This window comes from Homo sapiens, chromosome 11, assembly GCF_000001405.40.
Source record: "Homo sapiens chromosome 11, GRCh38.p14 Primary Assembly".
Classification (NCBI taxonomy): Eukaryota; Metazoa; Chordata; class Mammalia; order Primates; family Hominidae; genus Homo; species Homo sapiens.
This window is the reverse complement of record NC_000011.10, coordinates 118,410,695-118,430,283: the sequence shown is the minus strand read 5'-3', so window position 1 is coordinate 118,430,283 and position 19,589 is coordinate 118,410,695. Positions and strand designations below refer to the sequence as shown.

The 19,589-nt window shown below is 43.6% G+C and overlaps 1 long non-coding RNA gene across 2 annotated transcripts in view; it reads left to right on the top strand.

Annotated features, from left to right (window-relative positions):
- Window positions 1-11,468: 11,468 nt before the first annotated feature.
- Window positions 11,469-19,589, top strand: part of LOC100131626 (uncharacterized) — a 37,596-nt gene continuing 29,475 nt past the window's right edge. For both annotated transcript variants that reach the window (NR_046370.1, NR_046369.1), the window contains exons 1-3: window positions 11,469-11,507; window positions 11,662-11,769; window positions 12,860-12,943. This is a non-coding gene — a long non-coding RNA (uncharacterized LOC100131626). The remainder of the gene's footprint in view (window positions 11,508-11,661; window positions 11,770-12,859; window positions 12,944-19,589) is intronic.

The window sequence follows — 19,589 nt, the reverse complement described above, 5'->3', positions numbered from 1 at the left end:
TCCCACCTCAGCCTCCCTAGTAGCTGGGATTACAGGTGTGTGTCACCAAGCCCAGCTAATTTTTGTATTTTTAGTAGAGACAGGGTTTCACCATGTTGGCCAGGCTGGTCTTGAACTCCTGACCTCAAGTGATCCATCCATCCCAGCCTCCCAAAATGCTGGGATTACAGGTGTGAGCCACTGCACCCAGCCTTAATTTTTGTACTTTTAGTAGAGATAAGGTTTCGCCACCTTGACCAGGCTGGTCTCGAACTCCCGACCTTAAGTGCGGGTCAGGAGTTCGGCTTCGGCTTCCAAAGTGCTGGGATTATAAGCATAAGCCACCGTGCCCAGCCTAAAAGGACTTTAAATACAACCCTAGCATAGGCATCTGGCTTTCTGTAAAGAGGTCAGGAGTTCGAGACCAGCCTGGCCAACATGACAAAACCCTGTCTCTACTAAATATACAAAAATTAGCCAGGCATGGTGGCGAATGCCTGTAGTCCCAGCTACTCGGGAGGCCCAGGCAGGAGAATCGCTTGAACCTGGGAGGCAGAGGTTGCAGTGAGCTGCGATCACACCACTGCACTCTAGACTTGGCGACAGAGTGAGACTCCATTTCGAAAAAAAAGAAAAGAATTCAGTAGAGTTCTGCGCAAAGGCAAGGGCTAGATGCTTCTTGGACCATGAGCTCTTTGAGGACAGGAAACCGTGTATTACTTATCATTTTATCCCCTGTGCTGAACGGTGTCTATACCACCCAATTAATGTTTGCAAAATAAATGACTCTTCCCAGATGCACTCTTGGACCTTGGGATTTATACCCAAAGGGTCATGTTTTGTCAGGATTTTGGCAGTTACATGTCATGTCCTGGGCTGTTTGGGTTTTTGTGTGTGTGTGTGTGTTTTTAAGAAACATTTTATTTCAAATCACTTAAGCAGTCCCCATTTGAAATTGTACCAATGACAAAAGTTCATATTTTTCAAAGAGACTAATTACAGGAGTAATTATTATTTGATTATGATTGTTTCACCTTGTAGAAGCTTGAAGGAAATGTTACACTAAAGCATTTTCTTTCCTTCTCTTCCTGATTACTCCAAATTGTACTCTCATAGTAGTCTTCTGGTCAGTGTCCTTACTTTCAACCTTTGTGCTTTCTGATTTTCTTTTGTCCTTTTATTTATTCAACAAGCATTTGTTGAGCACCTACTTTGTACCAGGTACTACGTTAGAGCTGGAGATACAAAGGTGCTACGTCATAAAACTTTCACAGAAGCAGGAAAAGGCATGGGGTTTTTGAGAAACAAAGAGTACTTCGGTATTATTTAAACATAAGATATGTGGCGGGGCGCAGTGGCTCACGACGGTAATCCCAGCACTTTAGGAGGCCGAGGCGGGCAGATCACCTGAGGCTAGAGTTCGAGACCAGCCTGGCCAAAATGGCGAAACCATGTCTCTACTAAAAATAAAAAAATTAGCTGAGTGTGGTGGTGCACGCCTGTAATTCCAGCTCCACGACAATTGCTTGAACCTAGGAGGCGGAGGTTGCAGTTAGCTGAGGTTGAGATTCTGCCTCAACAACAACAAAAAAGATATATGTGGGTGGCTGGGCAGGTGGCTCATGCCTGTAATCCCAGCACTTTGGGAGGCTGAGTCAGGCGGATCGCTTGAGCCTAGGAGTTCAAAAGCAGCCTGGGAAACACAGTGAGACCTCGTTTCTACAAAAAATAAATGAAAAAATTAGCCGGATGTGATGTTATGTGCCTCTAGTCCTAGCTACTTGGGAGGCTGAGGTGGGAAGATCCCTTGAGCCTGGAAAGTTGAGGCTGCAGTGAGCCGTGACCACACCATTGCACTCCAGCCTGGGAGACTGAGTGAGACTTTGTCTGGGAAAAAAAAAAAAAAAAAAAAGATACATGTGGGAAAGTGTCAGAAGATGACTGGCCAGAGCATATTAAAGAGTTTGAATTTTATTCTATAAAGGTTAGGAAACATTTGAAAAATTTTGAGCAGGAACCGACATGATAGAATTTGTACCACATCCCTCGGCAGCTGAGTATAAGGCTGGTAGTGATAATAGAGGCAGAAAATGTAGTTAGGATATTTCTGGTCTCTTCCTAGGGGTTCAGACTCATATATCCATATGCAGTAGTCCAGATCATTGGTAATGAATGCAGTGACAGTGAAGATGTAGGAATGAAGACAGATTGCTGAGATATTTAGCAAATAGAATCACTTTTGTTGTCCATTTAGATACAGGAAATAAAGAAAAAGGGCTTTTCTCAGGTTGCTAGATGGGGTCAATAGGGCAGATGGTGGTACCACGAAGTAAGTTAAAGAGAACAAGAGGAAGCAGATGTTTTTAATTAGAGATGATGACTTTGGTTTTGGAACAGTTGAGTTGAGATGTCTGTGAGATCTGCAGGTGGAGCTGTCTAACAAGCAGGTTGGTACACTGGACAGGGGCTCAGGAAAAAATGCTAAAAATACAGATCTGGGACTTGGAAGCATGGAGATGGTAGTTGAAACTATGGGCATGGACCACACAAAAGAGTATGTGTAGCACACAGAGGCAAAGGCATTAAGACTGGAACCAGAAGAAACCCAGGTCTGTGTGATGGGCTATAAAAAGTAGCCAATGAAAGGAGACTGAGAAAGCAGCTCAGGAAGGTAAAAGGGGGCAAGAAGGAAAGCAAAGGAGAATGTTTCAGAGGAGCTGTAAACAATGTCAAATGTGGCAGAGAGGTCAAGAAGCAAGAGGACTGCAAGTGTTCGTTATAGTCAGAGGGAAGTCACAGGTGTTCCCAGGAAGAGTAGGCGTAGGGGAAAGGTGAAGTCTAAATCAGATGGCATTTGGTTAAGAAGAAAATGGGGAAGGCAAGGAGGAACATGTGTAGGAAACTGTTTCAGGAAGCTCAGCTGCAAAAAGAAGGAGAAGGGGCTTTAGCTGGAGTCCCTTAACACATGGTTAAGAGTTGATTTTGGGCCGAGGTGGGTGGATCACCTGAGTTCAGGAGTTTGAGACCAGCCTGGCCAACATGGTGAAACCCCATCTCCACTAAAAAGACAAAAATTAGCCGGGTGTGGTGGCGGGCACCTGTAATCCCAGCTACTTGGGAGGCTGAGGCAGGAGAATCGTTTGAACCTGGGAGGCAGAGGTTGCAGTGAGCCAAGATCACACCACTGCACTCCAGCCTAGGTGACAAAAGTGGGACTCCATCTCAAAAAAAAAAAATGTTGATTTTTGTAAGCTAATTTTTGGTTACTATAAAAGTAGGATATGCAAGAAGTTACAAATACTATGGAAAAATACAAGACAGAAAATCTAGGCTGGGTGCAGTGGCTCATACCTATAATCCCAGCCGAGGAAGCCGAGGCGGGCGGATCTCTTGGGCTCAGGAGTTCGAGACCAGCCTGAGCAACATGGTGAAAACCCGTCTCTACTAAAAATACAAAAATTAGCCAGGCATGGTGGTGGGCGCTTGTAGTCCCAGTTACTTGAGAGGCTGAGGCAGGAGAATCGCTTGAACCTGGGAGGCGGAGGTTGCAGTGAGCTGAGATCGCACCACTGCACTCCAGCCTGGGTGACAGAGGGAGACTCCTTCTCAAAAACTAAATAAAATGAAATAAAAAGTCTAAATATCCCTTCCTTCTCTTCAACTGTAGTCTAACTCCTACAAGGTAATCACTGTTAACTTTGTTGTCTGATATTTCAGACTATAAATAAGTATGTATGTATACATATCTATATATGTGTATGTATGCATATACACATAAGCACACACACATATATATCTTTTTAGTCAATGTGATTATACCACACAAGCTACTATGCCGAGTAATTTAATCTTTTCAGTTAGCAGCACGTCTTGGAAACCTTTCATAGCTTTCTGAAAGCTTACCTCCTGCCTCTCTCCCCCTAGTTCGTCCTATCCCTTTTTGCTTTGACCTCCTTGGAGTTCCTGGAACACGTCAGGCACACTTATACCTTAAGGCCTTTGCACTTACTGTTCCTTCTGCCTGGAATGTTCTTCCTCCAGATAACCTCTTGGCTCAGTCTCTCTTTTCCTTCAGATCTCTGTTTAAATGTCACTTCCTCAGAGGTCACCACTTATCATTCACGATACCTTATACTACTTCATTTTTCTTCACAGCACTTATTACCGTAGATTTGTTTACTTGTTTAATGTCGGTCTCCCCTACAAGGATATAAGCTCCATGAAGGGAGGGGGCTTTGCTTCACTGCTGTATACCCATAGCCCAGAACAGCACATGACCCTTAAGAGGGTCAAGAAAATATGAAGAAGCATGGAGAGTGGGCAGAGTGTGGTCTTATGGATAACAATGTAACGATTAAGAGCAAGCTCAAATTGCTTGCGTTCAAAGCTTTCTTTTGTTTTTTTTTTTTTTGAGATGAAGTATCGCTCCGTCACCCAGGCTGGAGTGCAGTGGTGCGATCTCAGCTCACTGCAACCTCTGCCTTCCAGGTTCAAGTGATTCTCCTGCCTCAGACTCCGGAGTAGCTGGGATTACAGGCACCCGCCAACATGCCCAGGTAATTTTTGTATTTTTATTTGTTTGTTTATTTATTTATTTATTTATTTATCTTTTGAGACAGAGTCTTGCTCTGTCACCCAGGCTGGAGGGCAGGGGCGTGATCTTGGCTCACTGCAACCTCTACCTACTGGGTTCAAGTGATTCTCTTGCCTCAGCCTCCTGAGTAGCTGGGATTATAGGCAAGCACCACCATGCCTGGCTAATTTTTTTTTTTTTGTATTTTTAGTAGAGATGGGTTTTCACCATGTTGGCCAGGCTGGTCTCCAACTCCTGACCTCAAGTGATCCACCCGCCGTGGACTCCCAAAGTGCTGGGATTACAGGCATGAGACACCCTGACTGGCCCAAATCTTTATTTCTTATTAGGTGTGTGCACTTGGGTGAGTGAATCAGTTTCCTCATCTGTATAATGAGGTTATACTAGTGCCTAACTCCTGGGGTTGTTGTGAGGCTTCATGTGTGAAAATATGGAACATGCTTACAACAGTAACTGACGGGTAGAGAATTGTTAGTAAATGTCCACTGCCATGATTATTGGTAGTATTCGATAAAGGCAATCTAGGAGCTCCGCCATCTGGGGACCTACTGGTCCAGCTCTTCTTCCCCTCTTTGATTATTCTGTCTCAGCCTCCTTTCTTTGTCCTTCGCCTCTTAAACACTGGTGTCTCCTGAGTGTTTCTCATTTCTCACATTCTCTTAGAGTGAACTCATAGTTTTAACTATCACCCAGGCTGAAAAGTGCCATAACTGCCACCCAAACCACATGGTTCCCCAGGGCCTCAGCCTGTGGCATCCAACTGCTTTGAGTATTTCCATTCTAATTACTTGTTAGGTTATATGACTCACTGAGGTGTGGGTTCCTCAAGGGCAGGAATAGTTTCCTGGCTATCTTTTTTTTTTTTTTTTTTAACGGAGTCTCGCTCTGTCACCAGGCTGGAGTGCAGTGGCGCGATCTCGGCTCACTGCAACCTCCACCTCCCGGGTTCAAGTGATTCTCCTGCCTCAGCCTCCCAAGTAGCTGGGACTACAGGTACGTGCCACCACACCTGGCTAATTTTTGTATTTTTAGTAGAGATGGGGTTTCACCATGTTGGCCAGTATGGGCTCAATCTCTTGATCTCGTGATCCGCCTGCCTCAGCCTCACAAAGTGCTGGGATTACAGGCGTGAGCCACCGCGCCTGGCCTCTGGCTATCTTTATCTCTGCTCCTTTAGGCGAGGTGCTCTTGGTAGGTATGCTTTGTGGGTGCTCACAGTATAGTGAAGGGAACCAGACAATAAATAAATAACTAGGACAAGCCAGGTGGTGAGTAGTGCGATATAAGCAGGATAGAAAGTAGAGACTTAGGAGCGGCTGAGGTACAATAGTTTATAAAATGTGGCCAGACTTTGGGTTAAGGGGCTATTTGAACAGAGTGTTGAAGGAAATGTGAATAAACCAAATGATGTCTGAGGGAAAAGCATTCCAAGCATAAAACAGCAAATGCAGAAGCCCCGAGGTGAAGTGTGTTTGGAGGTGACGAGGCCAGTGTGGCTGGAGGAAGAGTGGTAGGAAACTAGACGAGGGACGTCTGTGGTGGTGATGGTTTCAGAGCATACGAGAACGCAAAATGATAGGAGAAGCTATTGGAAGTTTCTGAAGACCGACAAAATATGACTTAATATTTGAAAGGATCACTCTGTCTGCTGGTTTAAGAATAAACAATAGGCCGGGCGCGGTGGCTCACGCCTGTAATCCCAGCACTTTGGGAGGCCAAGGCAGGTGGATCACAAGGTCAGGAGTTCGAGACCAGCCTGACCAACATGGTGAAACCCCGTCTCTACTAAAAATATAAAAATTAGCCGGGCGTGGTGGCATGCCTGTAATCCCAGCTACTCAGGAGGTTGCGGCAGGAGAATCGCTTGAACCCAGGAGGCAGAGTTTGCAGTGAGCTGAGATCATGCCACTGCACTCTAGCCTGGACAACAGAGTGAGACTCTGACTCAACAACAACAAAACAAGAATAAACAATAGAAAGGCAAGGGTGAAAGTGGGGAGACCAGTCAGAAGGCTATTGCAGTGGTCTGGGTGAGAGAAGATGGTGTCTGGGCCTTGGGTGGTAGTGTTGAGGTGATGGAAAATTGTCAGATTCAGGATACATTTTGAAGATAGATGGTACAATAGCTGTAGGCTCTAAAAAAAGAAAAAAATGAAAAAAAAAAGGGTAAGGATTTGCTGATTTGCTGATTGTATTAAATGTAGGGTGTGAAAGAGAAGGCAAGGAGGCAGAGATAAGTAATGAATGATTAGGTCAGAATATAAATAGTTGGGAAACATTAGGAGAACCAACAGAAGAAAGAGGATTCAAAATACGCTCACATACCCTACCATTCACTTATAGGGAAGAGTAATGAAAGATAAGTCAGTAGCTTGAGAATGAAGTAAAGGGAAGACTTTTTTTTTTTTTTTTGAGACATAGTCTCATTCTGTCGCCCGGGCTGGAGTGCAGTGGCACGATCTCGGCTAACTGCAACATCCACTTCCCAGTTCAAGTGATTCTCCTGTCTCAGCCTCCAGAGTAGCTGGGATTACAGGCCCCGCCACCTCGCCCAGCTAATTTTTTTTTTTTTATTTTTAGTAGAGATGGGTTTTGCTGGTCTTGAACTCCTGACCTCAGGTGATCTGCCAACGTCGGCCTCCCAAAGTGCTGGGATTACAGGCATGAGCCACCATGCCCGGCCAATGTTTTTTAAAAATTTAAATATTGGGGCTGGGCATGGCAGCTCATGACTATAATCCCAGTACTTTAGGAGGCTGAGGTGAGCGGAACACCTGAAGTCAGGATTTCAAGACTAGCCTGTCAACGTGGTGAAACCCGGTCCCTACTAAAAATACAAAAATTAGGCTGGGCACGGTGGCTCACGCCTGTAATCCCAACACTTCGGGAGGCCAAGGCAGGTGGATTGCCTGAGGTCAGGAGTTCGAGACTAGCCTGGCCAACTTGGTGAAACCCTGTCTCTACTAAAAATACAAAAATTAGCCGGGCGTGGTGGTGGCGGGCACCTGTAATCCCAGCTACTTGGGAGGCTGAGTCAGGAGAATTGCTTGAACGGAGGCAGAGTTTGCAGTGAACTGAGATCGTGCCACTGCACTCCAGCCTGGACGACAGAGCAAGACTCCGTCTCAAAAAAACAAAAAACAAACAAACAAAAAAAAACAAAAATTAGCCAGGCATGGTGGCTGGCACATGCCTACAGTCTCAGGTACTCGGGAGGCTAAGGCAGGAGAATTGCTTGAACCCGGGAAGTGGAGGTTGCAGTGATCTGAGATTGCACCATTGTGCTCCAGCCTGGGCGACAGAGCGAGACTCCATTGCAAAAAAAAAAAAAAAAAATATATATATATATATATGTTTCATATTTAATATAAAAAATAGGTTAGGCGTGGTGGCTCACACCTTTAATCCCAGCACTTTGGGAGGCTGAAGCAGGCAGGTCACCTGAGGTCGGGAGTTTGAGATCAGCCTGACCAACATGGAGAAACCCCGTCTCTACTAAAAATACAAAATTAGCTGGGCGTGGTGGCACATGCCTGTAATCCCAGCTACTCAGGTGGCTGAGGCAGGAGAATCACTTGAACCTGGGAGGCAGAGGTTGCAGTGAGCCGAGATCTCGCCATTGCACTCTAGCCTGGGTGACAGAGCGAGACTCCATCTCACACACACACACAAAAAACAGCCACATTTCTGAAAAGAGTCACCTACATTCACAGTCTCCATTCCTTGCCATGTTCCATGTACCTTTTTTTTTTTTTTTGAGATGGAGTCTCACTCTGTCGCCCAGGCTGGAGTGCAGTGACATGATCTTGGCCCCATATAGTCTTTAGGCCCATATCATCTGACTGCCATCTCCGTTGAAACTACTGTCACAAAAAAACACCAATGGCTATTTGCCAAAATTAATGGACACTTTTTTTTTTTGAGACGGAGTTTCGCTCTTGTCACCCAGGCTAGAGTCTGGAACTCCTGACCTCAGGTGATCTGCCTGCCTCGGCCTCCCAAAGTGCTAGGGTTACAGGCATGAGCCACCACGCCCTGCCAGTTCCCAGTCTTCTCCTCTGATATGTGATTGAATTTCCTAAAATGCAAATCTGACCATATTACTTCCATCCTTAATATATTTTAATAATTCCTTATCACCTTCGAGATTCTTTATTATCTGGTGTAACTCTCCCTTACCCCTTGTCTTCAAAACACATCTATTATTTGTGTTCTTTCCTTAGTGAACTAATTTTATTTGAATTCTCTTGTGTGATCATGTTTTGGTGCATGTTTCCTTTGTTTAAATGCCTTTCCCCTCTTGTCCTCTTGGTTAAGCTCCAGACCCAGCTCTGCTACATGCACAACCAGAGCATCATGTGTAGACTTTTATCGTTGCTCTTTAAATACTGTATCACAGTATCACAGTTGAATGATTTGTAGTTGTTTTACTACCTCTTCCACTAGACTGTGAGCCCCTCGAAGGTAGGAAACATGTCTTTTAAAATTTCAGAAGCACAATCTGATGCATAACAAGAATATAATAAATGTTTGCTGAACAAATAAATAAATGGACAAATGAAAATGAGGAATAAATAGGGAGAGACCACTGAAGAGTGAAATGGAAGAGAATCAAGAGCAAACATAGAAAGACAGTTTTGGAAAGAATGTCCTGTTTTCCTCTGGGATAGGAGAAAGAAGGGAAGGGACAGCAGAAAGAGGGTGTAATCAGAAGTAGATCCGTTCAGGCCAGGTGCAGTGGCTCACACCTGTAATCCCAGCACTTTGGGAGGCTGAGGTGGGTGGATCACCTGAGGTCAGGAGTTCGAGACCAGCCTGGCCAACATGGTGAAAACCCTGTCTCTACTAAAAATACAAAAATTAGCCAGGCATGGTGAAACATGCCTGTAATCCCTGCTACTTGGGAGGCTGAGACAGGAGAACCACTTGGACCTGGGAGGTTGAGGTGGCAGTGAGCTGAGATCATGCCACTGCACTCCAGCCTGGATGACAGAATAAGACTCTGTTTCAAAAAAAAAAAAAAAAAAAAAAAGTACATCAGTTCGAAGTGAAAGGGAGAAAACTGAAGGAGTTCATGCTGGATGGTTTCTATTTTCTCTTTAACGTAATAGGTAAGGCATTCCTCTTTTTTGGAAGACACTGCATGTCAGTGAAGTTACGTAACAGCTTCTTTAAATCTCAACTTTCATACCAGCAAAATTCTTGATTCTACTCTTTGACCCATATCTCTTGTAAAGTTGTGAGAACCAACAAGATCATATAGGATAGGGCTTTGAGCTCTTTAGGTAAGCAGCAATGGACCTACTGATCATCACTTAAATCTAACTTTAAATCCATGCAGTTGAAAGCAGCTAAATTCCAAAGTCCCTCCCATTTTATCATTCCTTTTATTTCTGTGTATTATCAATGCTGCAGCTCCCAGAATTGTAAACATTTTGTTTGCCTCCAAATTACTTTGAAAAAATTCACTAAGCCTAGTATTACTGTTTTTCTTTTTTGAGACAGAGTCTCACTCTGTTGCCCAGGCTGGAGTGCAATGGCACAATCTTGGCTCACTGCAGCCTCCACCTCCTGGGTTCAAGCACTTCTCCTGCCTCAGCTAGGATTGCAAGTATACATCACCATGCCTGGCTAATTGTATTTTTAGTAGAGATGGGATTTCACCATGTTGGCTGGTCTCGAACTGCCGACCTCGCCTCGCCTCTGCCTGCCTCGGCCTCCCAAAGTGCTGGGATTACAAGCGTGAGCCACCGAACCTGGCCTTTCTTTCTTTTTTTGACATAGGTCTCACTCTGTCACCAGGCTGGAGTACAGTAGCACGATTATAGCTCACTGCAGCCATGAACTTCTGGGCTCAAGCAATCATCCTGCCTCAGCCTTCTGAGCAGCTGGGACTACAGGTGTGCACCATCACCCTTGGCTAAGTTTTTAATTTAGTTTTTATTTATTATTTTTTGAGACTGGGTCTTGCTCTGTTGCCCATGCTGGAGTGCAGTGGTGCGATCATGGCTCACTGCAGCCTGTACCTCCCAGGCTCAAGCAATCCTCTAGCTTCAGCCTCTTGTGGAGTTGGAACTACAGGTGCACACCACCATGCCTGGCTAATTTTGGTATTTTTTTTGTAGAGACAGGCTTTTGCCATATTGCCCAGGCTGGTCTCAAACTCCTGAGCTCAAGGGATCCACCCGCCTCAGCCTCCCAAAGTGTTGGGATTACAGGCATGAGGCACACCTGGCTTTATTTTTAATTTTCTGTACAGACGAAGTCTCGCTGTGTTGACCAGGCTGGTCGTGAACTCCTGGCCTCAAGCGATCCTCCCATCTCAGCCTCCCAAAGTGTTGGGATTACAGGTATAAACCACTATCAACTATTAGTCTTCCCACAGCTTCAATTGCTCTCGTTATTCTAATCCTACTGACCATTCTCAAAGTCCTCCCAAGTTTTTTTTTTTTTTTAATGAGGGAAAATGGATAAAACTGAGCAATATTATCTCTCCACTGAGATGTCTAGCTTTTTTTGAGTCATGCTTAAAGTCTAACTATATGGTCTAAAATTGGTTTAGGATTCCTTTCGGCCACCAGTGCCAACTTATCTTAGGCTAAAAGGAATAGAGTTCAGTTGATCTAATTTAGAACAAATTTGTATCCATAGATGGGACGGAAATCTAGGTGAGGATTAAGGTCATGGCCAAGGTACAAGAGGAGGAGGAAGTCTGAGTTAATTATAACCTAGGTTATGCAGTCTTAATTCCAGGAAGCTGTGCCTCAGCTAGGTAGACAACTTGTTGATTGAGGAGTATTCTCAGAGGAACTGGAAGCTATCCATTTCTGAATTCCGAGCTGAATTTCTACGTCATCTGAGATGAAGGTGAAGGTGTCAGTATCCAAAGACTGGAAATTCTAAGAGAAATATGTCGCTTGGAGAAAGCCCTTTAGTAAGTATTTGCTTATTTTCTTTCCAGCAGTCATGACTGGCCTGGAAGATTTCCCAAAGGTTATCTTTTTCAAGGCTAGTTGGGTAAGCCTGTTTTGATATGTTTTTGAATATACATTATAATGCATTCATTGTGTTTATTTGTTTATTCCTAGATTTAAAAAAAACAGTATATATTTTGCTAATAGTTACAGTAAAAACAGATAAAACCAAGAGAACATGGCCATCATTGTTCAAGGCCTCATACTCTCTGATGCAAAAAGGTAAGCCTGAATTAAAAGCTACATTTCTTAATGTCTCTCATATGAAAAGCTATATAAGCTCCTGGTGTCGAGTTTAAAAACTGAGAACTTATTTGTAAACATTATGGGTAGAGATTAGGGAGTTAAATGATCACTTTTTAAAATGTTTAGGATTAGGTATTAACACCTATTTGCCTTATTCTCTTCTTTAGTAAGAGCTCTCTCTGTCAATATATAGCCAATAGTCTTGCTTAAGGCCCAGGAAAAGTCACTGTCTCCAAGGCAAATTATATGTTACGAATCTTCACTTACTCCTGCTAAAGTTAAAATGGAGTGTCTTACATGCGGGTTAGAGTTCAGATGCAAGTTTCTGAATAAAAACATAAAAAGTCAACCATCTCCCTTACCTATTCCTGCTCCTCACAGTACAATAAACAACTTAAATATCGCAGAATAGAGGGAATGTGGTTAGAGTTAGGACACCGAGGAATCAAGTCCTGCATTCCAGTCCCCTACCCCTGACTCATTCACCTCAGGCAAATGGTTCCACTTCATTTCATTTTGTACTGAAAAGTGAGGAGAGTAACATTTTGTTTCAAATTTTCTTAGGTGAGTGGGTTGGACTAACCTGTAAGGCTTTTGCTGAAGTTGAGATGAACAAATAAGGAAAATATGCAACTATAGATTGTTTTAAGAGAGGTGGGAAAAAACCCAACGGATTTTGTTGCTGATTTGTGTCCTTAGGACTTTCCACAAATAACTTTGAGAGATTTACTACTTAGTCCTTAGAGGCAGCTTCCTTCTGGGATGGGTGGATATGAGGCGTGCGGTGGGGTCAGATGGTGATGGGAGAGCAAAGGAACACAAAGGTCCCAAATCAAGGCCCATTTGGCTTCAGTGTTTACCCTCAGTGCAGTGGGGGTGAAATTTGGAGCCTAGGGTGAGGTAGAAATTAGTTTCCCTGTTGCAGTAGTAACTTGGGTATCAGATAATAAAGTATATTTCTGCCAGCATATTCTAAAGGCAGATGAAACTATACAGGGGTTTAAGGTAAAGCTATAATGAGCAAAATATCACCCCTGACTTTTTAAAATTTCATTTTACGTTCCAGGGTACATGTGCAGGATGTGCAGGTTTGTTACATAGGTGAACGTGTGCCATGGTGGTTTGCTGCACCTATCAACCCATCACCTAGGTAATAAGCCCAGCATGCATTAGTTGTATTTCCTGATGTTCTCCCTCCCTCTGCCCTCCCCTTGACAGGCTCCATTGGGTGTTGTTCCCCTCCTTGTGTCCATGTGTTGACATTGTTCACCCTCACTTGTAAGTGAGAACATGTGGTGTTTGATTTTCTGTTCCTGTGTTAGTTTGCTGAGGATAATGGCTTCCAGCTCCATCCCCAACCCTGCAAAGGACATGATCTCATTCTTTTTTATGGCTGCATAGTATTCCATGGTGTATATGTACCACATTTTCTTTATCCAGTCTATCACTGATGGGCATTTGGGTTGATTCCATGTCTTTGCTATTGTGAATAGTGCTGCAATATGTATGTATCTTTATATGTACCTAGTACATCCACTTTCAAAACAACTTAATCACCTTTTTGGAGAAGTTTTTTTCTGATTTTCCCAAACTGCTTCCCTTTACCCTCCTGTTGATGCTTCTTGTAGCACACATCATTGTATAATAGAATGATTTATATAATTTATAATGATATAACAGAATGATTTATGTTAGAATGATTCATATTCTATAGAATAGAATAGAATAGAATGATTTATATTCCTTTGGGTATATACCCAGTACTAGGACTGCTGGTTCCAATGGTATTTCTGGTTCTAGGTCTTTGAGGAATCGCCACACTGTCTTCCACATCACCCCTGACTTAATGTTTACTTGGTCATTATTACTTTCATTTTTTCCCCAATCTGGGGCTTACATGACTTCCTTTCCATTGTTCTACCTGGAGGTCACTAAAATTGGTAACCACTCTTCCACCATCACCTTATAATTCACTGTCTTAGAACTACATTTATTCAGTTGTTCTATTAGGTTCCCCACTCTCTTGAGACCCAGAGTCAGATGACATCAGGTAAAAATGCAGGCTGTCCTTAGGGGAAACAGTAGCTATTTTAACAAGCAGGCTATAATTCAAAACCACACAACAGTATTTAATTGCTTTTGGATTTGACAACACTGGAATGCATTAAAACTTGGAGCCTCTGAAGATAACCTTCCTAACTTCATGCAAGAAGTCCAAGGTATAGTTCTTATAAAAATCCATCCATAGGTTGCATATGTAAAATCCTCTGAGGAAAATGGTGGTGCTATAAACCTTTACATGATGAGCTTCTTTCAGCTGTAACAAGGATATAAATCAGGAAATGCGGGCTTGGCAAAGAAAGAGTTAAGATGATCAATTTCTAAGGAATTTCAGGGATTTTCAGATTTCAGGCTTGGTCTTTTATAAAGGATCTTCTGCTGCCTACCTCCTGGTTCTCCCCTGCTAGACCTTACATATGCAAAGGTAGCTTTGCATTAGCTAGCACAGTAGAGAAGGCTAATCAGAGATCCACATCTCTGTTTCAGAGTTGGAGGTTGAGATGCAAGAGTGACTCAGCTGGCATCAGCTCTGTAGCAGTCTCAGCCTGCAGGCCTTCAGGAAGTAAGTCCTCCAGGCCTGCATCTCCCTCTGTGGCAAATTGCCACTAAACTCTGCTGTTTATCAACCCAGTACCAAACACAGTAGGATGAGTCTGCTGTTTCACTGTTTTCAACAAACCCAAAAACACAGAAGCCAGATTACATGATGGGATAGTATTACAACAGTGTATTAGATACAGTATCTCCCTTAAGAAGCTTACAGTTTAGTAAGGAAATAAATGTAAATATAGCATTAGAGTGCAATGATGTGTGCTACAAGAAGCATCGACAGGAGGGTAAAGGGAAGCAATTCGGGAAAATCAGAAAAAAACTTCTCTGAAAAGGTGATGAAGTGGTTTTGAAAGTGGATGTGCTAGGTAGAAAGTGCCAGGAATGAAGGCAGAGGGGAAAACATTTATATAGATTAATTAATGGATACATTCACTTTATTCATCACATTTGCATTGAGTGACTTCTGTGTGCTTGCAGCATGTGATACGAACCATATAGTACAGGCAAGGTGGTGTATATATATAGGTGGAGATATGGTAAGATGAGATAATGATGTTGTGGGAGTAACTGGAAGTTCTCCAATTGCTTAAATTTTCTCAGTCAAGTAGGAAGTAAGGTCGTCTGTTGAAGGATGTAATTGCGGTCTGAAGAAACATAATATGATTGGCTGGTAGTATTAAGTGCTCTCTTAAGGTTCTGACCATCATGAATATAAAGTGAGACTACTTTTTTTTTTTTTTTTTTTGAGACAGAGTCTCGCTGTGTCGCCAAAACAGGAAGGAGTGTAGTGGTGCAATCTCGGCTAATTGCAACCTCTGCCTCCCAGGTTCAAGCGATTCTTATGCCTCAGCCTCCCAAGTAGCTGGGACTACAGGTGCGTGCCACCATGCTCAGCTAAATTTTGTATTTTTAGTAGAGAGCGGGTTTCACCATGTTGGCCAGGCTGGTCTCAAACTCCTGGCCTCAAGGGATCCACCCAAAGTGTTGGGATTACAGGCGTGAGCCACTGCACCTGGCCAGACTAGTTACTTTGTTTTCTCCAACTTCATTTGGCTGCATAGGTGCAGAGCAGGTAGACAGCTGAATTAAGCCAAGGAGGTGGTTTTGGTAAGTGAGTACAACGAAGTGAGTGAGAGGCAAGGAAGTTGAAGGTGTATTCAAGAGAATGCTTATGATTGATCATGGAACCTAAGTTGTAACAGGAGAGAAAAGCTGAAATCAAGGGGGTGAGGGAGATGGTAGGATCAATTTATTGATGGTCATGAAAACTCTGAATTTGTGTAGTTATTTGACAGAATGGGCTAGGAAGGTCATAGGTGGTCAGAGAGAGGGATGCATGAAATTGAAACTAAGATGGTTGATGTTTTTGGTAAAAAGATGGGAATCAGTATTTAAGGAAGGTGAAAGGTATTAACTGTTAAGTTTTTAGGGAATCAAAAGGCCAGGTTGGTTGAAGGATCATTTATGTTAATAGTTCTCAAACTTTAGCATGCATTAGACTTATATATGGAAAGATAATTAAAACACAGATTGTGCTAGGTGCAATGACGTATGCCTGTAGTCCTAGCTACTTGGGAGGCTGAGGGAAGAAGATTGCTTGAGCTCAGGGGTTTGAGACCAGTCCAGGTAACACAGTGAGACCATCTCTAAAAAAATGCAAAACAACACAACAAAAAAAATACAGATTGCAAGATCTCACTCCTAGTTTCTGGGGTAGAGCCTGGTAATTTTCATTTCTAAATTCCCTGGTGATGCTGATGCTGCTGTGGTCCAGGGACTGTACTTTGGAAACTACTGACCCATGTGTATGTTGAAATTGCAATTGTCAAGAATTAAGATAGAAGTAGTGTTATAAAGTGACAGTGAGCCAGGACACAAAATTGGCAAGAAATAAAGGGGACCAGCTGCGGTGGCTCACGCTTGTAATCCCAGCACTTTGGGAGGCCAAGGTGGGGGATTCTTTCAGCCTAGGAGTTTGAGACCAGCTTGGGCAATGTGGCTACCCTGTCTCTACAAAAAAATAGCCGTGTGTGGTGGCATGCGCCTGTAGTTCCAGCTATTTGGGAAGCTGAGATGGGAGGATCTTGATTGAGCCTGGGAGGTTGAGACTGCAGTAAGCTGTGATCATGCCACTATACTCCAGCCCAGGCGACAGAGCGAGACCCTGTCTCAAAAGACAAAAAGAAAGAAAGGGGAATGAACTGATTAGTGGAAAATTGCAACAATCAGGGACAGTGGATACACACTCTAATAACATGATATTTAAAGCTAGGTTTTATGGGGATTGGTTAGAAATGGTGGCTGAAACAATGGTTGGCAGCTAAGTGAGATTAAGATGAGGCAGAAGGGAGATTGCCAAGGGCTTTGCATGTTAGTATTTTATTATATCAGGGCCTTTTGTTTGGTAAACAGGTCTAGTGTAAGTTCCCTGCTAAGGGATTACCTCTGGTGGAACTGTTACTGAATTCATCACAAGGGTGATCACAATCTTATGTCCTAGTAGAAACAAAAACCACACTAATTAGGAAATAGTAAGTCCTACTAAACTACCTATCACTTTACATAAGATTAGGGAGGTTGATATCTAATGAGACAAGAAATCTTAAATAACTTAATAGTAGGGCAAAGCAGGACCAAGAATATATAATACAGAATGGAACTGTGGAAATACAAAGCAGGATCCACAAGCTGGTCACAGGTAGAGTCAGGGCACAGACTACAACACAGGATCATGACCTGGGCCCAGCTTATGCTGCCACCACTTATTGCTCTTGGGATCCTAGCCAAATTGTTTTATGTTTTCTGCTCAGTTCCTCTCTTGTTAAATGGTATATCATTTATGGCACGTGCTTCAGAGGAAAGTTGAGGGCTAAATGAGATAGTTGGTGCAAGTGCTTTGAAAAGGTAAAGTGTTATACAAATATGAAATATTTAAAAAGAAAGTATTGAGCTATCCTTAGAAATCAGGGTAGAATACTTAGGTATGTAAGAGATGAATGGAAAAGAGGAGAAACTGTTAATCTAAGAACAATGCTGAGATGTATAAAACAAAGGATGAGGCCGGGCGTGGTGGCTCACTCCTGTAATTCCAGCACTTCGGGAGGCTGAGGCGGGCAGATCACGAGGTCAAGAGATCGAGACCATCCTGGCCAACATGGTGAAACCCTGACTCTACTAAAAATACAAAAAATGAGCTGGACATGCTGGTGCGCGCCTGTAGTCCCAGCTACTTGGGAGGCTGAGGCAAGAGAATCTCTTGAACCCAGGAGGTAGAGGTTACAGTGAGCCGAGATGGCACCACTGCACTCCAGCCTGGCGACAGAGTGAGACTCCGTCTCAAAAAAAAAAAAAAAAAAGGATGGAATATGCAATGTGGACAGTTTCACATTAGTTTTTTTTTTTTTTTTTTTTTTTGAGACCAAGTTTCGCTCTTGTTGCCCAGGCTGGAGTGCAATGGCATGATCTTGGCTCACTGCAACCTCCGCCTCCCAGGTTCAAGAGATTCTCCTGCCTCAGCTTCCCAAGTAGCTGGGATTACAGGCATGTGCCACGACGCCCGACTAATTTTGTATTTTTAGAAGAGATGGGGTTTCACTATGTTGGTCAGGCTGGTCTCCAACTCCTGACCTCAGGTGATCCGCCAGCCTTGGCCTCTCAAAGTGCTGGGATTACAGGTGTGAGCCACCGCACCCGGCCTCACATTAGCTTTTTTTTTTTTTTGAGACGGAGTCTCGCTCTGTGCCAGGCTGGAGTGCAGTGGTGCCATCTCGGCTCACTGCAACCTCTGCCTCCTGGATTCAAGCGATTCTCCTGCCTCAGCCTCCCAAGTAGCTGGGACTACAGGCATGTGCCACCACGCCCAGCTAATTTTTGTATTCTTATTAGAGATGGGGTTTCACCATGTTGGCCAGGATGGTCTTGATCTCTTGACCTCGTGATCCGCCCACCTCGGCCTCCCAAAGTGCTGGGATTATAGGCGTGAGCCACCGCACTTGGCCACATTAGTTTTGAAATGATGAAAGCCTCAACAAAAAGCCTCATTTACTTATATATAGATAGCAGTTTCCTTAGGAATAAACCTTTGGACCACAGTGACAAATATTTGCATAACTGGCTTTGACTTAACCATTATGTTCTCTCTCCTCGTGATGCCTACTACTAAATGAGTACTTCTACTTTTACATACTGAGAAAATTGTAGGACCACATGCACTGTTATATGAACCCTATGCAAGTTTGCAGGTTTCTATTCTGGCTTTTGTTACATGGAATTGAAATTACCTGCTGATGTTAGACTACCCAAGTTACTTCAGGGCAGGACTGTGCCTTGTCAAAATCTTTCAATGGCTTTCTATTCAATGTCCTTAAAGAAGTCCAAGCCTTAACAGGCATAAAATACAATCTGGTCCCCACCATCTCTGGCTTTACCTCTCAGTGCTCTCCTCTGCCTGGCAATTTGGCCACACTTACACTCTCAGACCCTCAATGTACTACACTTTTTCTGACAGTAGCTTTTGCACAGGTTGTTTCACTTGGCCAGCATACCTTGCTCCATTCTTCTTGGCTAATGTACTTTCCTTGTTTATATAGCTACTATTTTCTCTGACAACCTCCCTTGAACGTCCTTCTCGTCTGGGTTAGCTTTTCTTTTTTCTTTTTTTTTTTTTTGAGACAGAGTCTCCCTCTGTCGCCCAGGCTGGAGTGCAGTGGTGTGATCTCGGCTCACTGCAACCTCCACCTCCCAGGTTCAAGTGATTCTACTGCCTCAGCCTCCCGAGTAGCTGGGACTACAGGTGTGTGCCACCACGCCTGGCTAATTTTTGTGTTTTTAGTAGAGACAGGGTTTCACTATATTGGCCAGGCTGGTCTCAAACTCCTGACCTCATGATCTGCCCGCCTTGGCCTCCCAAAGTGCTGGGATTACAGGTGTGAGCCACTGCACCCTGCCCTGGGTTAGCCTTTCAAGTATACCTTCCCCTTCCCTCATTATAGTACTTCTCACATCTTATTACAGTAATTGCATGCCTAATTACCTGTCTTACCAGATCAAACTCTGTGAAACAGGTAACAGTCTTGTTCATGAATGTTTCTGCCATTTTAATTGTGCCTAGAACTTAGGAGGTGCACAATAAACACCGAGTTTGCCAATGCCAAACACTTGGCAGCACACATTCATTGAAAGCC